We start from the raw sequence: 20,440 nt of genomic DNA on the forward strand, positions 1-20,440 counted from the left end.
CTAGGGTAATTTTCTCAGGTTTCTTTGCATAAAATGAGCTAATCACTAGAACCAAATCACCATCTGCCAAGTTTTACAATGTGCAAAATCCCAAGTACTATATTAGTTTCTGTGGAATATCTTAAACATGCCCTGGGACCACTGTCATAATAATATATATGCCAATTATAAGCAAATCTACCAGCCAACACAGCAATTTTTCCTACATTTGTTAGCACTTTTTGTTACTTTGCATTATAATTATCTTTTTACATACCTGTCTTCTCCCTTAGACTCAGAAGTCAGATGTAAAAAGGTTTAGCACATAACATGCACTCAATGGTTTCTTTGTTTAATGAATAAATAAAATTATCAAATGAATGTATCATTTTATTTTTACTGAAATAAAATTTGTATTTATTTTCAAATAGTACTTATTTCATGTTGAAATGCAATTTGTATTTTTTCTCCAACAACTCATGGAACGAAGGGAAACACAACCTATTTTCAGAGATGATAAGATTATTTGGCAAAAGCTTTGCCACAGATGTTTCACCCAATCCTTGACTTTTCACTCTTCCCCTAATTCATCTTTATTATTCATCTCAGCATCTGATCACACATTTGACTTCTGCTCTAAAACTTACTCCACAATTCTAAAGTGGTTTTAGAGAGCCTTTTCTGGTTTGTATATTTCACAAGTAACAATTCAATGATTACACCTAAAAAAAATCCAAGAGCTGCTTCCTTGTCCCATTTCAGCAAATTCTTCCTTGCTTCCTAGGTTTGTATGTATGCCATATAAAGTTTGGATTTAAATTTCAAAACTCACCATTTTTAGTTAAAATATTAATAGTCTTTAGTATCCATTTCTTCAGTAATTTTCTAACAACTCTTTCTAACATCATGAGGAAACCACTAAATTTTTATACAGAATAGTATAACTTTGCTGTCCTAAATGATTTATCTGTAACTATGAACATAAGCAATGTCTTTAGCACAGAGAAAATAAGACAAATGCATTTCTAAGGACCAGTTTATATACTGTTAATGTTACTTGTTAATATTATATAAATGTTAATTCTTCATAAATATCTTTCTACACTCTCAAGATTAGGAATTTGATGTATTATATTTTCTTTCATAGAAATTCAGTAAACATGTAAATGCTAAGCTTCAGTAACTATTGTCTTGATTATTAGTCAATATTTTAAGATGTATTAGAAACAGGAAATGCAAATAAATTATTTTTAATTCTATTATCCCACCTATCATAGATATTAAGCTTTGTATGAAATTTTCTTTGTACAATCAGAAGTTTTCATTCTGACAGAAAGCTTTACAGTTCATTTAAATAACCTGGTTTCAGTTTGTTAATCATCATTAATTGATTTTGAAAATAAATTATAATTTATTTTAATTGAAATATTATTTTTATTCAATAGTTTACAAAATCCAGATACTTGTACTGGTGAGATATAGGCACACCTATTTTAGTTTTTTAACAACTAAACAACACAATTACAATAGCAAGTTTGAACTACAGAACTTTTTTCTACAGATGAAGAAGAGCTGCACTCTCGTATACCTTCCAGTGAAGATTTCAACCTGTGGAGGAAAATAATTATAACACCCCCTCAGACAAACACATATATCAATCATTTATTTGCAATGTAATTTATAGGTTGTTTGAGACAATGTATCCCTATAATCATTAAAACAAAAATTGTTTGGGATGTGAACCTTTTATTTCGTAATTTAACTTTCTCTGCTGTTACTTGTTCCTCCATGAAATCCATATTGTAAACAATTTCAGAAAAATATATGCCAAGAAGATGACAAGAATGTTAGAGTTCTCTCCTGCATGAGATTATTTAACCTAAACCACCTCAACTGTGAAAACTGGGGATGCAACTTTGAGAAAACATTTTGAATGTGACAGCAAAATTACTTTCTGATGTTTATACATTTTTCATAATGCTGTTCCCAGTAGAACTGATTTCTGTATTTCTTACAGCAATAGTATGAAGAATCAACCTTTTAAAAGGATTGGGATTTGCTGACACTGCTGATAGAGTGCCTTGTTAGCTGAGAGACAATGATGTGGTTAAATGCAGCAAAGTAATAACTTTGAGAAATGAGGAGGTATCAAGAAAGGGAGTTGTACAGCCCTATATGTCTGCACTTGTGTGAGAGAAAAAAGAGAGGAAAATAGTGAGATAGACAGAAATGAAATAAGACAGTCAGAGCAGAGGATTCAGACAATGTGCCACTGAGGTCGATAAATCTATACTTATTTTTTACATTCTGCAAGGTCATAGATGACGCTGACATTGGTCTCCTAGCAACCAACTCTACTAACCTACTTTTGTCCCTATCACTGGAGAATGGGTTTGGTGCTTTGAGCTGTGTTTCTACATAAAAAAGAAGGAATCAAAGTGATGCTGGGTAACTACTGATGGGTAAAATTTTTAAAAAGGACGCACATATACAGAAACGTAAACACTTCTGGTCTCTTTCTTATCTAAGTTTACAAAGTTCAGAGTGGTCTTTCTACATATTTCTTAGAATTGAGAATAAATGTCCAATTATCACAAAATTTTTGCATTTTTAAATATCTAAAATACATGATGTATAGCACGCGTGATACTTTAATACATCTAAATTCAAGATATAAAAAGTAAAATATACGTCAATTTAGCTAGTGACCAGGATTAGATCCTAGTGACCAGGATCTAATGAGAAAAATAAATTAAGCAAAATAAACTAAATTCTAATATAGCTGTTACTTTTAAGTTTTATTATGTAAACATAATTGTAAAAGCAAAGTTTTATAAATATAATTATAAATTCCCAATATATCATGTTTTGTCCTTCGAGTTCAGAAGCAATATTCTCAGAATTAGTTTTCTGTGACTCTAAATTTTAGGAACTCTGTTATCTCTTAAGTTTTCATTTTTTTCTTTTTTTTAGTTTTATTTATATATAACTTTTTGGTTCTATTAATTCAGGTCTTCATATCAATTTCTTATCTCCACAATTCTATTGTTATCTTTTCTTGAGGGTCTCCTTAGTCTTTATTCTCATAGAGCGGACAATGAAATTATTGTAACCTATTTTGCCCACATAATTCTTAAGAAGGTAAATAATAATGACACGGATTCATATTTCCTAGTGAGAGGTGATCCAGTACATGGTCTTAAATTCAGGAATCTCTTCTCCAAAGTCATAAAACCCTTGACTATTTGCACATTGTGGGACAGCTTAATTACGTGTGCTTCATGTATGGCCCTATGTGTCTGCATTTGTGTGAGAGAAAAAAGAGAGGAAAACAGATTTTTTTGTAGTTACCATTTTAATTACACAAAACATCTTAGTGTTATAGCATTCTATTTTAACCGAATTACAAACTTAATTTTAATCGCATATAAAAATTATACTACTTTATAGTTCCGCATCCCCAATTTATATTACTAAGGTCACTAATTACATTTTATATGTTATATACTCATTAATATAGTTTAATAGTTTATAATTGTTCTTGTCATTTAAATTCTATGCACCAAATTATTATGGTATAATTTATTATATTTGTCTGTATATTTGCCTTTATTGAAGAACATTGTATGTTCATATTGCTTTGTGTTGCTACCTACCATCCTTTTCCTTCTATTTTAAAAGGTCCCTTTAGCATTTCTTGTATAGAAGATACAGTGGTGAAGAATATCCACAGTACATTTTTCATATTTATTAGTTATTTTTATTTCAATTTAATATTGTGTATTCATGTCCTTTGCCTGTCTTCTAGTGGAATGTTAATTTTTAAAACATTTTTCATTTGCTCTTTACATAGGAAGTGTATTACATTTTGATGTATGATTTCTGCCTTTAGTATTAGAGTTGTATGATATGGATTCTAGATACCCCAGTTTTCTTTATGCCCTCTTACCTTCGACTCTTAAAAAGTGACTCAAGAATATTTTCTACAGTATTTCATGGTACACCTTAAAACACAAGTCTCAGAACTGAATGAAATACCCCAAATTGTATACATTATTATCTCCTTGATCAACGCATTACCAATCCACAACTGCCATTATTTCCTTTAGAAATAACCAAACACCATTATAGTAAACAAATATGTGATTGATTTTCCCAGAATTTCACTAATCGGTCACCCCCAATTGTATAATACATTTGTGCAAAAATTGAGCAAATATTTTGGGCCTTCAGGGAAATTGCATTATCCCTTATCTTAAACTGATTTTTTTCACATCTTGGATTATAGTTTCAACTTTTTAAGATATGTTTTCAACTTTGATTTAGTCATAGAATCAGTATCTCCTAGTTTTTTCTTTGGTCATGTGAAAATGCTATGTCTGCCATTAAATACTCTTTCAAAATATTTATAAGCTCTATTAACATGACCTTTAGTTTCAAGATGGTGTACTGAACACATCTATTAGCCTTCCCTGATTTCCAAAACCTAAGTAACATTTCCAAAATAATATTATTTAGGAAAAAAAAATCTATATAAATATTTTTAAATAAGGAAAGATATTATTGTTAAGAAAACAAACAAAAGAGGCAAACTGATGGATATCAGGAACTAGTGTTCTTACATTAATGCAACTGCTTCCCGAGTAGAGTGGGAAGGTAAACATAAAAACTCATTATTTGGAAAAATAATTTAAAATTGTAATAACTCAGGTGCAATATATACAAAGTGTTTTTTGTTTTGTTTTGTTTTGTTTTGTTTTTTGGAGACAGTTTTGCTCTTGTTGCGCAGGCTGGAGTGCAATGGCACGATCTCAGCCCACTGCAACCTCCGCCTCCTGGCTTCAAGTGATTCTCCTGCCTCAGCCTCCTAAATAGCTGGGATTACAGGCATGTACCACCATGCCCAGCTAATTTTGTATTTTTAGTAGAGATGGGGTTTCTCCATGTTGGCCAGGCTGGTCTCGAACTCTTGACCTCAGGTGATCCACCCACCTTGGCCTTCTAAAGTGCTGGAATTACAGGCATGAGCCACCGCACCTGGCCCTTTTTTTTTCTTTTTTTTTTTTTGGTGACAGAGTCTCGCTCAGTCACCAGGCTAGAGTGCAGTGGCGTGATCTCGGCTCACCGCAATCTCCTCCTCCTGGGTTCAAGTGATTCCCCTGCCTCAGCCACTGGAGTAGCTGGGACTACAGGCATGCTCCACCATGCCTGGCTAATTTTTTGTATTTTAGTAGAAACGGGGTTTCACCACGTTGGCCAGGATGGTCTGGATCTCCTGACCTCGTGATCTGCTGGCCTCGGCCTCCCAAAGTGCTGGGATTACAGGCATGAGCCACCATGCCCGGCCTAATATATATAAAGTTTTACATCAAAATTTAATACACTTCCTATGTAAACAGCAAATGAAAAATATTGTTAAAATTAACATTCCACTAGAAGACAGGCAAAGGACATGAATACACAATATTAAATTGAAATAAAAATAACTAATAAATATGAAAAATGTACTGTGGATATTCTTCACCACTGTATCTGCTATACAAGAAATGCTAAAGGGACCTTTTAAAATAGAAGGAAAAGGATGGTAGGTAGCAACACAAAGCAATATGAACATACAATGCTCTTCAATAAAGGCAAATATGCAGACAAATATAATAAATTATACCATAATAATTTGGTGCATAGAATTTAAATGACAAGAACAATTATAAACAATGAAACTATATTAATGAGTATATAATATATAAAAAAGTAATTAGTGACCTTAGTAATATAAATTGGGGATGTGGAACTATAAAGTAGTAGAGTTTTTATATGTGATTAAAATTAAGTTTGTAATTCGGTTAAAATAGAATGCTATAACACTAAGATGTTTTGTGTAATTAAAATGGTAACTACAAAAAAATCTGTAGAATGTACTCAAAAAGGAATGAGAAGAGAATTAAAGTACATAATGTTAAAAATCAATAAAATGAAAAGGAAGGCAATGAGAAGAAATGAAGAACAAAAAACCTATAATCCATTAGAAAATAATATTCACAATGGCAATAATACCTGTACTTTTTTTTATCAGTAATTACTTTAAATATAGATGGATTGAATTCCCAAATTAAAAGTCATAGATTGTCTGAATGGATTAAAAAAGGGGATCCACACCTGAGGTGAGGAGTTCAAGACCAGCCTGGGCAACATGGTGAAACCCTGTCTCTACTAAAAATACAAAAATTAACCAGGTGTGGTGGCACATGCCTGTAATTCCAGCTGCTTGGGAGGCTGAGTCAGGAGAATCATTTGAACCTGGGAGGTGGAGGTTGTGGTGAGCCAAGGTCATGCCACTGCACTCCAGCCTGGACAACAAGAGTGAAACTTCATCCCAAAAAAAAAAGAAAGGAGGGGGGATCCATATCTAGATTGTCTACAAGAGCCTCATGATAGATCTAAGGACACACACAGGTGGAAAGTAAAAGACTGAAAATGGCATTTCTTGCAAGTAGCAGAAAAAAATAGAGAGAGACAGCGAGACGGATGGCTATACTAATATAATCCCAGTACTTTGGGAGGCCAAGGCGGGCAGATCACCTGAGGTCAGGAGTTCGAGACCAGCCTGGCCAACAGGGTGAAACCCTATCTCTACTAAAAATTACCCGGGCATGGTGGTATGCTCCTGTAATCTCAGCTACTTGAGAGGCTGAGGCAGGAGAATCACTTTAACCCAGGAGGCGGAGGTTGCAGTGAGCCGTGATCATACCACTGCACTCCAGCCCGGGCAAGAGAGTGAGACTCTGCCTCAAAAACAAAAAAATGTACTTAATGAAAACCCATTATAGGAGCCAAATAAGAGCAATTAATTAATAATAAAAGTATCAATTAATTAATAAGATGTAAAAATTACAAATCTTTATTCTCCAATACTTAGAGCTCCTAAAGACACGAAGCAAACTTTGACAGAATGGAAGTGAGGAACAGACAACACAGTAACAATAGGAGACTTCAAAACCCCTCTTTTAATAATGAACAAGTAGATAGAAAATCATTATGGCAATAGACAATTTGAACAACACTCTACACCACTTGGACCTAACAGACATATAGAGAATACTTCACTCAACAACCGCAGAATATATATTATTCTGGAGTGTACAAGGAATGTTCTTCAGGATAAAACACATACTAGGACACATAAGTCAACAAATTCAACAAGATTCAAGTCATACAGATAGTCTTTTTAATCACAGTGAAGTGAAACCAGAAATCAATAGCACATAGAAAATTGGAAAATCCACAAATACGTGAAATTAAATGACACATCCTTAAACAATGAATGGTCATAAGGAAAATGAGAACGTATCTGGGGATAAACATAAATAAAAATAAAACATACCAAAAGTTATGGCATAGCAATGGTGGTGCTAAGAAAGAAGCCTATAGCTGTAAATACACATATTAAAAGAGAAGAAAGACCTCAAATCAACAGTCTAACTTTACACCGCAAGAAACCAGATAAAAGAATCACAAATTAAACACAAAGCTAGCAGAAAGAAGGAAATAATAAAAATTAGAGCAGAGGTAAATAAAACAGAAACCATAAAAACCATAGAAAAAAATCAAACTAAGAAATGGTTTTCTTGAAAAGATTAACAAATTGACAAACCCTTATCTAGATTAACCAATAAATAAGAGAGAGTACTCAAATAATTAAAATCAGCAATAAATAAAGAGGACATTAAAACAACACCATAGAAAATAAAAAAGCATTACAGAAGAATACTATGAACAACTGTAGGTCAAACGATTGCATAGTCTAGAAGAAATGGATACATTCCTATAAATACACAACCTACCAATACTGAATCATAAAAAAGAAGAAAATCTGAACCGATCAAATACAAGTAAGAAGATTTAATTGGTAATCAAAAACCTCCAAACAAAGAAAAGGGTAGGACTAGATGTATTTTACCAAGCCTTTAAAGAATTAACTCCCATCTTCCTGAAACTTTTCTGAAATATTGATGAGAAGGGAACATTTCTAGGCTAAGTCTATGAAGCCAACATTGTCCTTATGCCAAAACCAGGCAAAGACACTCCAAGGTAGCTACAGAACAATATCTCTGAAAAGTATTAATGCAAAAATTCTCAACATAATACTAGAAAACCAAATTCAACATTAAAAGGATTATATACCATGAACAGGAGGAATTTAATCCTGAAATGCAAGGATGGCTTAACATAACAAAGTCAATTAATATAATGCATCATATTAACATAATGAGGGCTAAAAACCACCTCAATTAATGCAAATAAAGCATTTGGCAAGATGCAACATTATTTTATGGTTAAAGAAAACACTCAGCAAATTAGGAATAGAAGGAAAATAACTCAATATAATAAAAGCCATTTATAAAAAACCCACAGCTGACATTATACTTAATGGTGAAAGGCTGATGGCTTTTTCTCTAAGATTAGGAACAAGACTAGGATACCCAGTCTTGCCACTTTTATTTAACATAGTATTGGAAGTGCTAGCAAGAACACTTATACAACAAAGAGAAAATAAATTAAAAGTTATCCATTTTGGAAAGAAAGAAGTAAAATTACCTCTCTTTATAGGTGACATGATCTCATATGTAGAAAACCCTAACAATTCTGCACACACAAAAATTGTTAGCATCAATAAACTAATTCAGCAAAGTTCCATGATAGAAAATTGATTTAAAAAATCAGTAGCATTTTTATACACAATGAAACAATAAAAATTCTGAAAGTTAAGAAAACTTTCATTTGCAATAGCATCAAATAAAATATTTAGGAATAAACCTAACCAAGATGTGAAAGACTTTTATACTGAAAACTACAAAACATTGCTGAGATAAATTAAAACACAAATAAATTAAAAGACATCTCATGTTCATGGATTCAAAGTGTTAATATTGTTAATATGTACATACTACCCAAAGTGATCTACAAATTCAACAAAGTCCCTATCAAAATCCCAATGGTATTTTTTGCAGACATAGAAAAATTCATCTTAAGATTCACATGGAATTTCAAAAGATGCCAAACAGCCAAAACAATCCAGGGAAAAATAAGAACAAAGCTATAGAACTCACCTTTCTAATTTCAAAACATATCGCAAAGCTATGGTAACTAAAACACAGTGGTTCCCGTATAAAGACAGACTAACAGGTCAATGTAATAAAAGACAATCCCAAAATAAACCTTTAAGTCTATGGCCAAATGATCATCTAAAAAAGTGCCAAGACCACTCCCTCAACGTAGAAAGGACAGTCTCTTCAACAAAGAGTTCTCAGAAATCTTGAGATCTATATGCAAAAGAATAAAGTTCGATTGGTACCATATATCATATATAAAAATTAACTAAAAAGAAAGACCTAAACATAATACCTGAAACTATAATACTCCTAGAAGAAAACATAGGACAAAATGGCATTGAACTAGACAATTATTTCTTAGATATGATACCAGAAAAAAAATACTGTGTGATATCACTTATGTGAGATATCTAAATTAGTCAAGTTCATAGAAACAGAAGTAGAATAGCGGTTACCAGGGGCTGGAGGCAAGGGTAAAGGATAATTGTTGTTTAATGGGTATAGGGTTTCAGATGTGCAAGATGAAAAATTTCCGGAGATCTCTTTCACAGCAATGTAAATATGTTTAACACTGAAAAACCATACATTTAAAAATGGATAAGGTAAAAAAAAAAGATGAAATCTGCATTTGATATTGTTCCTATGAAGCCCATATTTAAGATTATAAAGCAAAGTGAGACATGATTGTGTTGAAATCTTTGCAGACTGCATTTAAAGCTTTCAATTTTGACTTTATGTTCTCAGTCCTCTGTCAACAAACATCTTTTCCCTGACAGTGTCATCACCCCTTATTTTTCAGTATAATTCATCCTCCAAATTTCCATCCTCTTCTCCACTTAATGATGAAAGAATTCTTATTCCATTCATCTGCAACTTATTTGTATTACATACTAACCTACCTTCCATGTGTACTTTTAAGTTTGTTTCTCTGATAAAGAGAATTTATTTCCTCTTAAATTAATAAATCACATGTCTTAGGGAACCTATAGAAAATACTTATGTGTTGATGATAACCTTCATCTTCCACCTAAAAATCACAGTTCTGGTTTTCTATAAGCAAAACCATTTGATACATAGTGGCTCATTGCTTTGATATTTGTTTAAAAAATAAATACCTTGCAGATGTGATATATTTTTGCCCTCCTCTAGTTTAAACTTTTCTTTATTTGTTTTTATTTATTCAAATGTATGTGTTGAATGACAGCCATTGGCCTTAAAAGCATCTAGGTTTCAGAGGTTAACACCCACTCTCAAGCTCTCTTCTTGCTCTTTCTCTCTGCATCCTCATTGGTCATGACTTGAGTATTTCTAGCATCTGCCCAAAACTGAACATAGTAATTATTCTACTATTACCATGGGGAGTCTATATTCTCATTAAACAGAGTTTCTAGGCTATGACCAATATTGATTTACTTATAGATTATAATAAGAGGCAAAAAATAATGTTCAAATATTCTGTAAGAAAATAGGTGCTTGTTTTCACCTGAGGGGTTTGAACTAGGGACATGGAAGAGACGGACTGAAGGAAGACCATACAGGTGGTCAGTGGAAATGACAGAGCAGAGAAATGGAAGCATGGATACAAAAATTTAAAAGTTAGAGCAAAGTAATAGCAATGTTGGGAGGCAAAGTCAGAATCTCCGACTTGTTTTTTTTTGTTTTTTTTTTTTGAGATGGAGTCTCACTCTGTTGCCAGGCTGAAGTGCAGTGGCACAATCTCTGCTCACTGCAACCTCCACCTCCTGGTTTCAAGATTCTCCCACCTCAGCCTCCAGAGTAGCTTGGATTACAGGTGCCTGCCACCATGCCCAACTAATTTTTGTATTTTTAGTAGAGATGGGGTTTTGCCATGTTGGCCAGGCTGGTCTTGAACTCCTGGCCTCAGGTGATCCACCTGCCTGGACCTCCCACAGTGCTGGGATTACAGGAATGAGCTACTGTGCCCAGCCTAGAATCTCTGACTTCTTATGTAATGTCAGTATGAGTCTGTGATGGTGACAATGGTGCTGTTTCTATTGCTGCTGAGGACAATCATAATGATGATGATAAAAGAGTGAATAATATTAAAAGAAACATTCCATGGTAATATCAGCTTGTGTTTACAGACCTGATCAGTGGAGAAATAAAAACAAATGAGCCATGTAAAAGTCATTATAATAATATAGCCATGAATATTTCAGCTTTATAGTTAGTCAGATGGATTTGCATCCCTTACCAGTCGTATAAATTTAGCAAATTACTTAATTTTGCTAAAGCAAATTTTTTTCACCTATAAAACAGATATATACTAAACACACATTGATGAAAGAAACTGAAGACTAAAAAGCGGAAAAATATACTATATTCATGGATTAAAATAATTAATATTGTTAAAATGTTCATACTACCCAAAGCAATCTATAGATTTAAATGCAAATTCTATCAAAATTACAGGAATTGTTTAAAATTACATGAAGTTTATTTTTAAATCCTAAAATTTATGTGGAACCACAGAAGTCCTTGAATAGCCAAAGAAATCTTGAACAAAAAGAAAAAAAGCATTGGATGTATCACACTACCTGATTTCAAAATTCATTGCAAAGCTATGGTAATCAAAACAACAAGCTACTGGCATAAAAACAGACACTTGTACCAATGGGATGGAACAGAAACCTCAGAAATAAACCTACATATTTACGGCCAATTAATTTTTCACAAAGTTGCCAAAAACACCCAATGGGGAAATGAGAGGTTCTATAATAAAAAGTGTTGGGAAAACTGGATATCCACTTGTAGTAGAATAAAATTGAACCCTTATCTCACACCATATGCAAAAATCAACTCAAAATGGACTAAAAACTTAAATTTAATATCTGAAATTGTAAGAGTACTAGAAGAAAACATAAGGGGAATCTCCATTACATTGGTTTGGGCAATGATTTTTCTGTATAAACAAAAAAAGATGAATGTGATTGTATCAAATTTAAAACTTTTTACACAGCAAAGGTAACAAGGAACAGAGTGAACAGACAATCAACAGATTGGGAGAAAATATTTGCAAACCATACATATGATAAGGGGCTAGTATCTAAAATATATTTTAAAAATTGGCAACTTAATAGAAGGAAACAACCCAATTTTTAAAATGGGCAAAGGACCTGACTACATATTTCTTAAAAAAAGACAAAAGGCCAGTAGACATATGAAAAAATGCTCAACATTAATCAGGGAAATGCAAATTAAAACCACAATGAAACATCACCTCACACTTGTTAAAATAGGTATTTCAGAAAGACAAAATATAACAAAAGTTGGGGAGGATGTGGAGAAAAGGGAACCCTTACACACTGTTGGTGGGAATTTAAATTAGTCATTATGAAAAACAGTATGTAAGGTCCTCAAAAAGTAAAAATAGAATTACCATGATCCAGCAATTCCACTTCCGGGTATAAAAGGAGACTAATTTTTCTCTCTATCCATTCAAGAACAAGGTTGAGAAATCTCTTAATTATCCAAAAAAAAAAAAAGGGGGGGCATTGCAGGCTGAGAGTGGGGGAATTGTGATGGTTCCTGCCTGTAAATCCCAGCACTTTGCAAGGCCAAGGTGGGAGGAAGGTTTGAGTCCAGGAGTAAGGCGGGGCTTAATGGAATTAAAATCAGTATGTCAAAGAAATATCTGCATTGCCCTGTTTACTGTAGTAATATTAACAATAGCCAAGATAGGAAAGCAATGTGAATGTTCATCAGTAGACAAATGGATAAAGAAAATATTGGCTGTATGTTGTATATATGGAATGCAATGGTACACTATTCAGCTTTTAAAAAGGAGGAAATCATACCATCTGTGACAACATGGATGAATCTGAAGAACATTGTGCTAAGTGAAATAAGCCAGGCACAGAAAAATCAATACTATATGATCTCACTTATATGTAGAATCTAAAAAAAGTCAAACTCATAGGAGCAGAGAGTAGAGTGGTGATTTTCAGAGGCTGTAGGGTTTGGAGGAGGAAAAAGATGTTAATGAAAAGGTACGAAGTTTTAATCAGACAGGAGAAATAGATTTTAGTGATATATTACATAGCATGGTTACTATAATTAGTAATCATATATTGAATATTTCAATGCTGCTACAAGATTAGATTTAAATGTTCACATCTTTAAAAAATAAGTAGGTGATGTCATAAATATGTTAATTAGCTTGATTTACTATTTCCACAATGTATACATATATCAAAGCATCATATTGTAATCCATAAATATATACAATTATTGTTTCTATTAAAAATAAAATAATACATAAATAGATGTTATAAATTTACCTAGCTGACAGTGTTATGAGACTTACACAGAAGATATTTGGAGCAGATTAAATGTTTAATAAGAATTAGTTATTGCTGTTAACTAATAAATCACAAACAAATGCTTGACCATTTAGGGTGTTTACTTAATGTTCTGTTGTTATATTCTATTATAAATATAAAAGAATGAGATGAAACATGTGAAGTTGCTTTGTAAAATACAACTGTGCCCCAACATTTCTGTGTGTGTGTGACAGAGTATTGCTCTGTCATCCAGACTGGAGTGTAGTGGCATGATCACAGCTGACTGCTGCCTCAATGTCCCAGGCTCCAGTGATCCTCCCACCTCAGCCCAGTGAGTGATCCCAGATCTCTCATGCTTAAGAGACCTTCTACCTTAGCCTTCTGAGTAGTTGGGACTACAGGTGCAGGTGCATGCCACCACTCCCTGCTATCTTTTTTATTTTTGAAAAATGTGGTTTCACCATGTTGCCAAGGCTGATCTTGAATTCTTGGACTCAAGCGATCCTCCTACTTTGGCTTCCCAAAGTTCTGGGCTTTACAGGCGTGAACCACCCGGCCCCACAGCCTGTAATGCCATTTTTTATTGCACTTTGTATTGGCCAATTAAGAGATTTCCCAACCTGGTCCTTGAATGGATGGAGAGAAAAATTAGCCTCCTTTGCAACTACGGAAGACTTTGTGAGCTTACAAGATGCTATGGAAATCTACTTATGGCTTCTGAAAAAGTTTTTTCTTTTTTCTACCTCTCCCGCAATATAACACAAAAATTAAGTTCTTTCTGCCTTTCTCTTCCTTGCTCTCTGTAGTGTGACAATATAACATTTGAAGCTGCTCCAAACAACTTTGACTGTAAGAAAAAGGCCAAGAGAATACAAGAGGCTCTAACCAAGGACTCTGACTTCACTAAGCCACTGAAACATTCCTGGCACTACCTACCTCCTGCCTTTTCGTTATGGGAGGAAACCCTATTGGTTAGGTCACTGTGAGTATTAATGGCCACTATTAATGGCAACCAAAGCCATTCCTAACAGATATAACATTTTAATTATGAATATAATTGCCTTCATAGCTTACAATTTATATAGGTGTTCTTGGAAATTAATTATGCATTGTTTTAACATTGTAATTATTATTACTCTGGATTAGTCTCTACTGGTTTCAGCAGTAAAACATGTCACCTCTGAGAAAATGGGAAGAGATCAGATGATACTAGAATGAGAATTGTTTAGTAACCATACAGATTTAAAATGTAAACCCAATCTGCTATTGATTGGTTCTGTGATAGTCTGCCATATTACCTAAGCTTCATTTTCCCAGTAACAGTGAAGGCAACATAATATATATCTTACACAGTAGTAGCTAGAATTAAATGAGATAATTATAAAACTGTTTGACAAAGTACATAGGACAAAGTAAACGCCCCAGAAGTTCATTGCTCTCTGGCCTGATAATGGCCCTTAGGAACTCATGTGGCAGTGTCCACCCCTTTTCTGTCTGGAAATATAGCTAGTTGGTGAATTATTTGCTCTCTTACCTTATGTATATCTGGTAGCAAGAGACGTAAATGTGACATTATCATCATTTACAACATGTGGCTGAAATTCTAGTAGTTTTACTGTATAGAGTAATATTGATTTTGAATAAAATGATTGGCAGGTATTAATGTTTTTTATATGAGCTATATTAGACTTTCTCATATTCTATAAAGTGATTATAATAATACCCACCTTAGGTAAAGATTAAATTAGAGGAGGTAAATAGAATATTCCTCATGATACTTTGAACCCTTATTATTGTTAATTTTACTATAGTTAGTCATGCATCTATATCATCTACCTGAATAGACTATAATACAGTGTTTCCCAACCTCAATGATATTGACATTTTGGACTAGATAAATTTTTGTTGGAGAAGGGGGGTGTCCTGCACTTTCTAATATGTAGTAACATCCCATGTTATGCCCACTAGATGCCATTAGCACTTCCATTCCCAGTTGTAACAACCAAAAAAATCTCTAGACATTGCCAAATGTACCCTTGAGGATGAAATTGTCTGCCTAGATGAGAACCACTGCTGGTGAGAAACACAATACCTTGCATAGATACTTTGTGTCTATGAGGATTATAAGAAAAAAAAATTTAATTGAATTGATTTGAATATGTGTACCAATAAGCAATTACATCTACATTAGTGATTCCATTAACACTATTTTCTTTTTTGGCACCTTTAGCAAGTTCTTGTTGATTCATAGATCTCAGAATTGAATAATGAAGTTTTGAACATAGAAATAGACATTAAAATGATAAGCACATACAGGATGTTTAATTGACATTGAAAGCTGAAGATGTAATATTTAAGTAGTACAACTAAAATAGAATAGAACTATTTTAGAAATGATTGTATAACATTCTATAATACAGAGTAAGCAGCTATAGGACAATTTTATGTAAGCTCTATATCTAGTATCTGATTTTGGGGTAGCCAAAAATTTTAAATATCCTTGTAAGTGGGAACACCCATTGTATAATTTGAAAAATTTTAATTTAGCCTTTATTTAGCCTGAAAGCAAAAATAGAAGATCTCTGATAAAAGAGTGTGCAGTTTTACTGAATTGATGTAGATCCATGTCAGAAGTCACATGGGAACATTCTAAAATGAGATGGCTATTGAACATACCTCTAAATGAGACAAATGTGCAATTGATTTAAGCATGGTTTAATTGCTGCATCTAGAAAATATTTTTTATATTCTCATATAAAGAAGTTATTTTTTTCTTTCTGATGTGCTATTTTTATCTGTATAGGGTTTAAAACACGTCCTTTAAAATTGCAGAGGAAGAAAAGGCTTGGAGGTGATAAAGGAATAAATAAGTTCATTCCCTTGATTATGGTGATGGTTTCATAGGCATATGCATATGTCCAAACTCATCAACTTGTATACATCAAATATGTGCAATTTACTGTATATCCACCTTATCTTAATAAAGCTGTTTAAATAATAATAAAATAACATTACGAAGGGAAAAATCAACTTTGGTAACTTTTTCAAATAGACACATTTATCTTTCTCTGGCCTGGCCAGATACATTACACATTTAGATGATCTCCTATTTGTAAATAAACATATATTTGTATGGAGTGTATGTATGTTTGTTTGTGTGTGAGTGTGTGTGTGTGTGTTCCCTTTTATGTCCAATTGGTAATTTAGCCTCTTTGGGTCAGTAATTCCATTTTATGATTTAAGAACTAAAAATCTCATTAAAATAAAAAACTTCTCTTCTAAAAGATATAAACTTCCATATGTGGGGTAAGTGTTCTGCACCAAAAAGTAAATTAAGTTAATCTTTTTTTTTCTCTAATGTGGGAAAAGTTGACAAACATAGAAAAAGAGTTTTTTGAGGAATTAGACATATTGGGAATAGAAAGCTTGGGCAAATCAACTAATGACAGATTTTTTAACCAAATGTTTGAAGTTCTATAGAAGAAAAACAAAAGTAACAGGGTGCTCTTGAAAAGTTATTCTTGTACAGTGATGTGTTGCTTAAACATGGGTTTGTCCTAAGAAATGCATTATTAGGCAATTTCCTCATGATGCAAATATCGCAGAGTGTACTTACACAAACCTAGATGGTATAGCCAATGACACACCTAGGCTATATGGGACAGCCTATTTCCCCTAAGTGTCAGACCTGTATTGTATGTTGCTGTACTGAATACTGTAGGCAATTTTAACACAATGGTAAGTATCTGTGTATCTACATGTATCTAAATATAAAAAGGTACAGTAAAAATACACTGTTAAAGATTAAAATAATGCTCCACCTGTGCAGGGCAAGAACCATGAATGGAGCTTCAGGACTGGAAGTTGCTCGAGGTGAGTCACTGAATGAGTGGGGAGTGAATGTAAAGGCCTAGGACATTATTGTACGGTATTGTAGACATTATAAACACTATGCGCTTAGGCTACACTAAATTTATAAAACATATTTTAACTTTAATAATAAATTAACTTTAGTTTGCTGAATGACTGCCTTCATATATGCAGTCCATCACTGACCGAAATGCCACTATGTGGTACCTGACTATAATTCCTAATTTAGCTAAAGGAAGAAGAAAATGAAACAACATTTAATGAATGTCTAACATGAATGAATTATGCAGTGTAAACCTTCCTGCAACCTAGTTGTTGATGAACTTTTTGATTCTTCAATTAAGGAAACCATAATTTCAATTTCAGATAATTTGAGCAAGGTCATAAACTATCCTATTTATACCATAGCATGACAGTTAAGAATCCTGTGTAAAGACCTCAATGTAGCTCTTTTGAGATGGTGCGAGATTTTCTAAAATGTATTCATAAATTTTTATTTTAGTTGTGGATTTGTTGCTAGATAAATGTGTAGCATTTTTCATCATAATAATAATATTCAGAATTCTGAGAATTTGCCTAATTAAAAGTTGTTCAATAATGTATTAATTTATTAATTAAATAAAAATCACAAAAATACTGGTTAGGTAAGCCCTCTTTGACTCTAATTTGCTTACGAATCACTGAAGATGGTGTATTACTATTAACTGTGGGACCAAATAATAGTTGTTTTTGTAAGCAAAATGTCTGATAATTTACAGTATGTTTTCACTTATACCTGCTCATTTACATCTTATTTACTTTGTATAACACCTGTAAGAGTAAATCAAACATACTTGTTAATGTAATGATTGATAATGTCATAATTCCAAAAAGTATTTAGAGGGACTTATAAAAATATATATGATATAAGATGGAGACCAGGATTATTTCAAGCATAAAGTCAAGGGAATAATAAAGAAACTATATACTAGTAACAGGTAAATTTAATAATTGAAATCCATATCAGAAAGCACAAAACACCTAGTAAAAATTAGGCACACATTTTAGAAAAAAAAATTTAAAAAATAAAGCGGAGGTAAACACAATTAATATATGATTAAGAGAATATAAGAGAAAATAGCAAACCAATTATTCAATATAAATTCATTAGTTTTGAAAACAAAAAAGAAAAAAAATATTCTCCATACCTTCTCAAATAGGAGACCAAGTAAAGCAGTAAACAACAATCTCAAAAGATACCATTCATCAGATCCAAATTGGGTTTCTTAGAGCTATTTCTCATAATGCTCCTCAATGTAAGAAGATTCTGTATCCCTAGTGTATATTTTAGAGGAATCAAGTGCTATAGATGGCAAAAGTCAACTTTAATGTAGTCAATATTTAAATTTGGCTATATAATATTTAAGTGGCAATATACAGAAATCAAACTTTATTTTATAACCCAATTACGAAATATTTCTATATATGCTACTCTGTCTCTGTTTAGAATGAATATATTATCAATGATAGTGCAATGGCATTTGTATTACTCACTTGCATATGCTGAGCACCCACTGAGTGCTGTACCCTGGGGATACGGAGAATATTTTACCCATTACTAAGGATCTCATCATCAGTGAGGCAGAACAAACACAGTGGTATAAAAAATGAATTTGGGCCAGGCATGGTGGCTCACGCCTGTAATACCAGCACTTTGGGAGGCCGAGGCGGGTGGATCACGAGGTCAGGAGATTGAGAGCATCCTGGCTAACACGGTGAAACCCTGTCTCTACTAAAAATACAAAAAAATTAGCCGGATGTGGTAGCCGGCGCCTGTAGTCCCAGCTACTCAGGAGGCTGAGGCAGGAGAATGGCGTGAACCCAAGAGGCGGAGCTTGCAGTGAGCCGAGATCGCGCCACTGCACTCCAGCCTGGGCGACAGAGTGAGACTCCATCTCAAAAAAAAAAAAAAACAAAAAAAAAAACCTGAGTGTATGGAGGAAGAGGGAAGACTATCATTTTTTTTTTATAGAGGGAAATAGATAAGCCTTCACAAAAATGAAAATATTTGGGTAGAATTTTGAAGGTTGAAAAGAACACATCTAATTTTCAACAGAAGGGCCTCATAGACAGAGGAAACAGTAAGAAAAGTAATTGTTGAAAAAATATACCATATTTGTGGAGCCTAAAATGTTCTGGGGCAATCCAGATTCAGGTTATATAGAAAAGTGAAAGTAAATGATGTTGAATAGATAGACTGGACACAGTTGATGAAAGGAATTGAATGTCATGCTGAAGAGCTTGAATTTTATTCTGCAAGAAATGAAAGGCAATATAGATTTTAATTAGTGATGGAAAAAAAATTTTTTTCATTTGCAATCATATGCAAGATATCATCTACTGATGAAAGACCAGTTAAAAATTTAAAAAAAAATGTAGATGATACTTTGAGCTTTTGCAACTTGTACATGACTTGTACAACTTGTACATAAATGGTTATGTTTGCAAGTCTATTAAAAACTATGATCCACAAAAAATAGACTCCCAAATTGATCATACTCTTGGTAACATTGCTGTTCTCACCACACCTCCCAAACCAACGAACAAATAAGAATACCCCAGTCATCATGTGTGGAGTGAGGGGATATGGTTAGCCAGAAACACAGATATTTGCGAATTTAAGTCAAAATAGGAATATCAGGGACAAAAATTCAAATGCATCTCCAGGTGTTAGAGTTTCATTGTTGGAAGCCAGTTTCTAATCAAGTAGAAGCCAAAGGGGCGGTAAATATGACTGGACCAGCAAGCAGCTAATGAGGGAGCTAACAGCTACCTTGGGCCAAAGTTGTAACACATTGACCTTTAAATAGTCAAAGAGAATTCAATAATTTGAAGGACTGAAATGACCTGGGGATACTCACCATATCCCAGGGGCAAAAGCAGTCAAATTCCCTTTTCAAAATTTCCCTGAGTTAGGCCACAAAACTGCTGCTGATTAAAATCATAAAACACACACACAAACACACGCATATACACAGCATCACCAACATGAGGAGAAGGCAACTAGCAGAAGTCAAAATAGACTAACAGGATACTGTTTAAACCTCTAAAGATTTTCCAACATTGTTATTATCAGATACAGAAAACATAAATGTATGAAATGTTAAAATAAATAATGAAAGAAACATAAAGATGGCG

General features: G+C 33.3%; 1 long non-coding RNA gene across 2 annotated transcripts; it reads left to right on the plus strand.

Annotated features, from left to right (window-relative positions):
* Positions 1–2,344: 2,344 nt before the first annotated feature.
* Positions 2,345–17,268, plus strand: LOC105376086 (uncharacterized). Of its 2 annotated transcripts, none has more exons than XR_929945.1 (3): positions 2,345–2,427; positions 14,200–14,375; positions 17,223–17,268. It is a non-coding gene; the product is annotated as an uncharacterized LOC105376086 (long non-coding RNA). The 2 variants fall into 2 exon arrangements; XR_929944.2 differs by lacking the exon at positions 17,223–17,268 and adding an exon at positions 16,197–16,369.
* Positions 17,269–20,440: the final 3,172 nt, after the last annotated feature.

This window comes from Homo sapiens, chromosome 9 (assembly GCF_000001405.40).
Source record: "Homo sapiens chromosome 9, GRCh38.p14 Primary Assembly".
Taxonomy (NCBI): domain Eukaryota; kingdom Metazoa; phylum Chordata; class Mammalia; order Primates; family Hominidae; genus Homo; species Homo sapiens.